This window comes from Homo sapiens, chromosome 3 (assembly GCF_000001405.40).
Source record: "Homo sapiens chromosome 3, GRCh38.p14 Primary Assembly".
Lineage (NCBI taxonomy): Eukaryota > Metazoa > Chordata > Mammalia > Primates > Hominidae > Homo > Homo sapiens.
The window spans coordinates 169,864,481-169,870,480 of NC_000003.12; the positions used below are offsets into that span (position 1 = coordinate 169,864,481).

Here is a 6,000-nt window from a genome sequence, read left to right on the forward strand (position 1 = left end):
GAGCCTTGGTTTACTCATCTATGAAATGCCTGGTTCATTTCTCAAGAGCATCGTGATTTAAACTTACTGGAACCTCCTATGCACATGGTAATCTGCAGGGCCTTTTACCTGAGAGGTATTTGGTAAATATTTGTTAAATGAGCAAACAATTGAATGAATGAATATTGGTTTTACAGTTCCTCAATTACCAAAATAAATCATCATGATAAATCTTTATCAAAACACTTAAATATAAATGTGAGTACTAACTTATGAGACCCCTGGACATCTCCTCACAGATCATGTATTTCAATTTTTAAAAAATCTGTGAAACCGGCCAGGTGCAGTGGCTCATGCCTGTGATCCCAGCACTTAGGAAGGCTGAGGCAGGTGGATCACCTGAGGTCAGGAGTTCAAAACCAGGCTGGCCAACATGGCAAAACACCGTCTCTATTAAAAATACAAAAATTTGCCAGGCGTACTGGCATGCACCTGTAATCCCAGCTACTTGGGAGGCTGAGGCAGGAGAATTGCTTGAACCCAGAAGGCAGAGGTTGCGTGAGCCGAGATTGTCCCACTGCACTCCAGCCTGGGCAACAGAGCAAGACTCCATCTCAAAAAAAAAAAAACCTATGAAACCAAATTAGCCCAGTGTAGTGGCGGGTGCCTGTAGTCCCAGCTAGTAGGGGGCTGAGGCACAAGAATCTCTTGAACCCGGGAGGTGGAGTTGCAGTGAGCCGAGATTGCGCCACTGTAGTCCAGCCTGGGCGACAGAGTAAGGCTCTATCTCAAAAAAAAAAAAAAGAAAAATTATATGAAGCCTTCTCTTCACAGGATACCTTATGTCACAGCTCAGTGTGTAGAACAAGTGAGTCAGGGCTGCTACAGCTAGGCTGGAGTGGGGTGGGAGGCACCCATGGGGGGCGCATTAGTAACCACACAGGAGCCGCTCTGTGGAGATTGAGGCCTTTTCCTAGCTGTGTTAGCTCTGAACAAAGCTCTCGGTTCTTAGTGCTCTCACTAAGTTCCTTTCCGACTGAAATCTGTCAAGGTTTGTCAACCAAAACTCTCGACACTCATAAAACATTATTACACATTGGTAACATGGGTGGTACTGTACCAGGAACCAACATAACAAGTTCCTGTTTTCAAAGAGCTGCCTGTTTAATGAAAGAGACAGCAAGAAAGCCACCGTTACCGTATAGATGAGAAGTGGAGGCACGCAGGGGTGTGTGGTTCCACACTTCAGTGACAATAAGTACCTCAAGTCTGGTGATTCCAGGTCGGGGAGGAGGGTCTTGGGAAGTTTCCAAGAGAAACTGGTGCCTGGATTGCACCTTAAAGGAAGAGTGGGAGTCATCCAGGTGGGTGGACATGAGGGAGGGATAAGTCGGGGGGTTGCAGGGGAGGATGGTGACACGAGGGAACATCTTTCTAGCCACAAAGAACCACTTGCTGGGGATGGGAGAAGAATGTGGCCAGTCCAGGGAATTATAAGTAAATCAGAGGGCCACACGTAGAGGATGAGGGCGGCGCTGTGGTGGGAGGTGGGAGAAGGCAAAGGTCATGAAGAGATATCCAATATCCAACTGATCACTAATACCTTGAGGGCCATGCTTGGGAATATAGGTGAGAGAAACTCAGTGAAGGATTTTAAGCAGGCGAGAGACACCACCATATCTGTGGTTTAGAAAGAGCATTATGGCAGTGTAGAGGACAGATTGGCAAGAGAGCAAGACTGGAAGCAGAGAAACCAGTTAGGAAGCTATTGCTGTGGTCCAGGCAAGAGACAATGAGAGCTAGGCAGCAGCAATGGAGAGGAAGAACCAGGTGGGAGAGCTATTTAAGGACAGAATTAACATGACTCCAGGAGCCATAGAATTTTGGGAGAAATAGAAATGAAGAACCAAGCAGCTTGGGTGGTCAGTGTTGCACAGCAGGGATGACCCCGGCTTGGTTTTGCACTGTTAATTTAATCACAATTACATTTATTCATTATCTTCTTTCCTGATGCTCTAAATCACACTCTAGAACAAAAATGAACAATTTTCTGATAGAGATGGTTTTCTTTTAAAGACAGACTTTAATTTCCTATTTATAAAAACATACTTAAAATACATTTAATCTACTTGCTGCTAAAACTGTATTATTTTTGGCATTTGATGGCAAACAATCTGATGGAAGGGAGGGTAGGTATAAATGATATAAAATTGGCTAGGCACAGTGGCTCCTGGCCAGGCCTGTAATCCCAGTACTTTGGGAGGCCAAGGCAGGCAGATCACCTAAGGTCAGGACTTCGAGATCAGCCTGGCCCACAAGGTGAAATTCCTTCTCTACTAAAAATACAAAAAAATTAGCTGGGCATGGTGGCGGACACCTGTAGTTCCAGCTACTTGGGAGGCTGAGACAAGAGAATCACTTGAACCTGGGAGGCAGAGGTTGCAGTGAGCCGAGATCACACTGCTGCACTCCAGACTGGGTGACGGTGCGAAACTCTGTCTCAAAAAGAAAGAAAGAAACAAAATCGGCCATGGGTTGATTTTTTTTTTTTCTGTCTCAGAAAGAAAATTGGCCATGGGTTTTTTTTGTTTGTTTGTTTGTTTTTTTTTTTTTGAGGGTCTTGCTCTGTCACTCAGCCTGGAGTCCAGTGGTGCAATCATGGCTTACCACAGCTTCAACCTCTAAAATTCAAGCGATCCTCCCACCTCAGCCTCCAGAGTAGCTAGGACCACAGGCATGCACCACCATGCCCAGCTAATTTTTAAACTATTTTCTAGAGATGGAGTCTTTTTTTTTTTTTTTTTTTTTGAGACAGAGTCTTGCTCTGTCGCCCAGACTGGAGTGCAGTGGCGCAGTGGTGCAATCTTGGCTCACTGAAACCTCCACCTCCCGGATTCAAGCGATTCTCCTGCCTCAGCCTCCCGAGTAGCTGGGATTACAGGCACCTGCTACCACACCCGGCTACTTTTTTATATTTTTAATAGAGACTGGGTTTTACCGTATTAGCCAGGATGGTCTCGATCTCCTGACCTCATGATATGCCTGCCTCGGCCTCCCAAAGTGTTGGGATTACAGGCATGAGCCACCGCACCCGACCAAGACAGAGTCTTGCTATATTGCCCAGGCTGGTCTTAAACTACTGGCCTTAAGCGATCCTCCTGCCTCAGCTTGCCAAAGTGCTGGGATTACAGGCATGAAACACCATGCCCAACTGATAATTACTAAAAGTAGGTGACTATGGGGATTCTTTATTCTATTTTTGCATATGCTTAAAATGTTTTTAAAATGCTTTTAATCTAATAGATAATATATTGATGACATTGCACATAACACATAACTTTAGAGAGAGATTTGACAATATTTATTTTCATAACCCTTGAATTTGCAATCCCTGTTCTGGAAATTTATACTTTAAAAATAGCTGAAATATGGTGAAACAGGGAATGGGAAAGAAAGAAAGCCAAAGATACTCACCGAAGGACAAACAAGGAACTCACTGAGTAATTAAGACATATGAATGTGATGGAATATTATGCAACCATGAAAATTATGCATATGAGCATCATGTAGCAATGTGGGAATTGAGCAATATAATAATATGTTCTAGAAGTAGGATCACAGCTCCACATAAACTCAGGAGGAATCTGTAAGCTATTACAACTGTGGAAAAGATGCCAATCTGGCCCCAGCGACCTCTCTGACTTGTCTTCCACTACCCCTTCCTCTCCATGTCTCCCATCCTGCTTTAGCATCCCTGACTTCCTGACTCTCTCTCAAGCACTCTAGGCTCAGTCGTATCTAAAGCCTTTGCATGTACAGTCTCTTTGCCTGGAAAGCTATTTGCACAAATACCTAAGTGGCTCGCTTTATTCATTCATTCAGCAAAGCTGATTTTATTCAGATTGCTGCTCAAATGCCTCCAAATCGAAGACTTCTTTCCTCCACCCCCATCTAAATAGCACCCCATCCCATCATTCTTTGTCTCCTTAGCCTGCATTATTTTTCTTCATATCACTTATCACCACCTGAAGTTATATCTGCATTTGGTCCTTTTCATGGCTGTATTTCTAACACTTAGAGCAGGGGTTACTACATAGCAAGCACTCAATAAAGATTTATTGACTGCTGACTGACAGAACATAAATGCATGCATATGAAAAGAAAAGACTGAAAAGAATCTTAAAGAAATGATCGTTTGTGTTATAATGAAAGGAAATTCAGTATTTTCCCTACATTTTTCTGTAGTGTTATATTGCTTTTAACAATTTAAAAGTAAAATTATGAATCATTTAAAGCATGTAAGTAACATAATAAATGATTAGCACAGAGACTCATAGTTGAGTCTTTAGTCTCAAAAGTCTTAAAGTCTTTAGTTTAACCCATAAGATCACTTTAGAAGAAAACTCTAAAAAATAAAGAAACATAGAGGCTGGGAAGGGTGTGTGTGTTGTTGGTGGGGGAGGTGTGGATGGTTAATGGGTACAGAAAAAATAGAATATATAAGATCTACTGTTTGATAGCACAACAGGGTGACTATATTTATCCTTTGTTTACAAACAACCCGTTGTGCTCTTTTAGTTATTTTTAAATGTGCAATAATTTATTGCACATTTAAAAATAACTAAAAGAGGCCTGGTGTGATGGCTTACACCTGTAATCCCAGCAGTTTGGGAGGCCAAGGCAGGAAAATCACCTGAGGTCAGGAATTCGAGACCACCCTGGCCAATGCAGTGAAACCCCATCTCTACTAAAAACACAAAAATTAGCTGGGCATGGTGGTGCGCATCTGTAATCCCAGCTACTCGGGAGGCTGAGGCAGGAGAATCGCTTGAACCCGGGAGGCAGAGGTTACTATGAGCTGAGATCACGCCATTGCACTCCAGCCTGGGTGACAAGAGTGAAACTCTGTCTCAAAATAAATAAATAAATAAATAAAACTAAAGGTATAATGGGATTGTTTGTAACACAAAGGATAAATGCTTGAGGGGATGGATACCCCATTCTCCACAATATGATTATTAGGCATTGCATGCCTGTATTGAAACATCTCATATACCCCATAAATATATACACCTACTATGTACCCACAAAAATTAAAAATAAAAATATTTTAAATGTGGAAGTAAAAACAAAACAAATACAACAGCAAAAACACCAGCAGCCAGCAGCTTACCAGTCTCTGAGGTGGCTGTCTTCTGTATCCAGTCGCTGGGTTGGGAATCACTTGTTTTAAGGTCATTGTCCTCTTTTCTGCTTTCAGCATTGGAGCCCCTGAGAAATTTGTTGACAGTTGAAGTCTGGGGCTTAGTTTCTCCTTCTGAGGAAGTTTTCTTCCTTGTTTGACTCATGGTGAAGTTGATGGGGGTAGTTCCCAATAAGACATCTTCCTGTTGCTTTCTGTTTTCTAGGATTTCTAAGAAGAAAAGAAGATTCTGTCAAGCCTGTGTTCAATCAAAATATCCTCCCCTACATGACTGCCCCCCACTCCCTGCCGCACCACCTTTCTTTTTCTGTTTTTTTATTGCTGTTAATGTTTAACATGAAAATAAGAATGATGTAACCCAGGATCCAGAAGCCAATACAAACTCAAAGCAATTTGAGTTTTTAACTTTGCCCTATTTCATTGTGTGAGATACAAGTCATTAAGCATGACTTTGGCAAGCACATCAAGTGTGTCAACACATCTTAAATTACAGCTGTCAATTAGTTACCTGAAGACTTAATATGCCTTTAAAAGGGACTGGCCATTTGCAAAGCTGTCCCCAGAGGAGTTTGCCTTCAGCGACCTCTGCCTTCTGGTGACCCCCACCTCCTTCCTTTGCACATAAGCTCCTTTTTCTCTTTGCATATTCATATTTTCTCTACCCCCAACCCTGCACCACCACCCCACTGAAACATGTTGGCAGTAAAGAATTCATTCATTCCATAAATAGTTTTAAAGAATCTACTGTGGGCCAGTTAATGTTCTAAATGCAAAAGATTCAATGACGAACAAGAGACAGTTCTTGTCTTTGATGGGAT

General features: G+C 42.4%; 1 protein-coding gene across 6 annotated transcripts in view; it reads right to left on the reverse strand.

Annotated features, from left to right (window-relative positions):
* LRRC31 (leucine rich repeat containing 31) overlaps positions 1 to 5,455 on the reverse strand; it is a 30,764-nt gene extending 25,309 nt beyond the window's left edge. For all 6 annotated transcript variants that reach the window (NM_001277128.2, XM_011513159.3, XM_011513158.3 and 3 more), the window contains exon 1: positions 5,153 to 5,455. In NM_001277128.2, coding sequence (NP_001264057.1) covers positions 5,153 to 5,327 — 175 coding nt within the window. In that variant the 5' untranslated portion in view covers positions 5,328 to 5,455. The remainder of the gene's footprint in view (positions 1 to 5,152) is intronic.
* Positions 5,456 to 6,000: the final 545 nt, after the last annotated feature.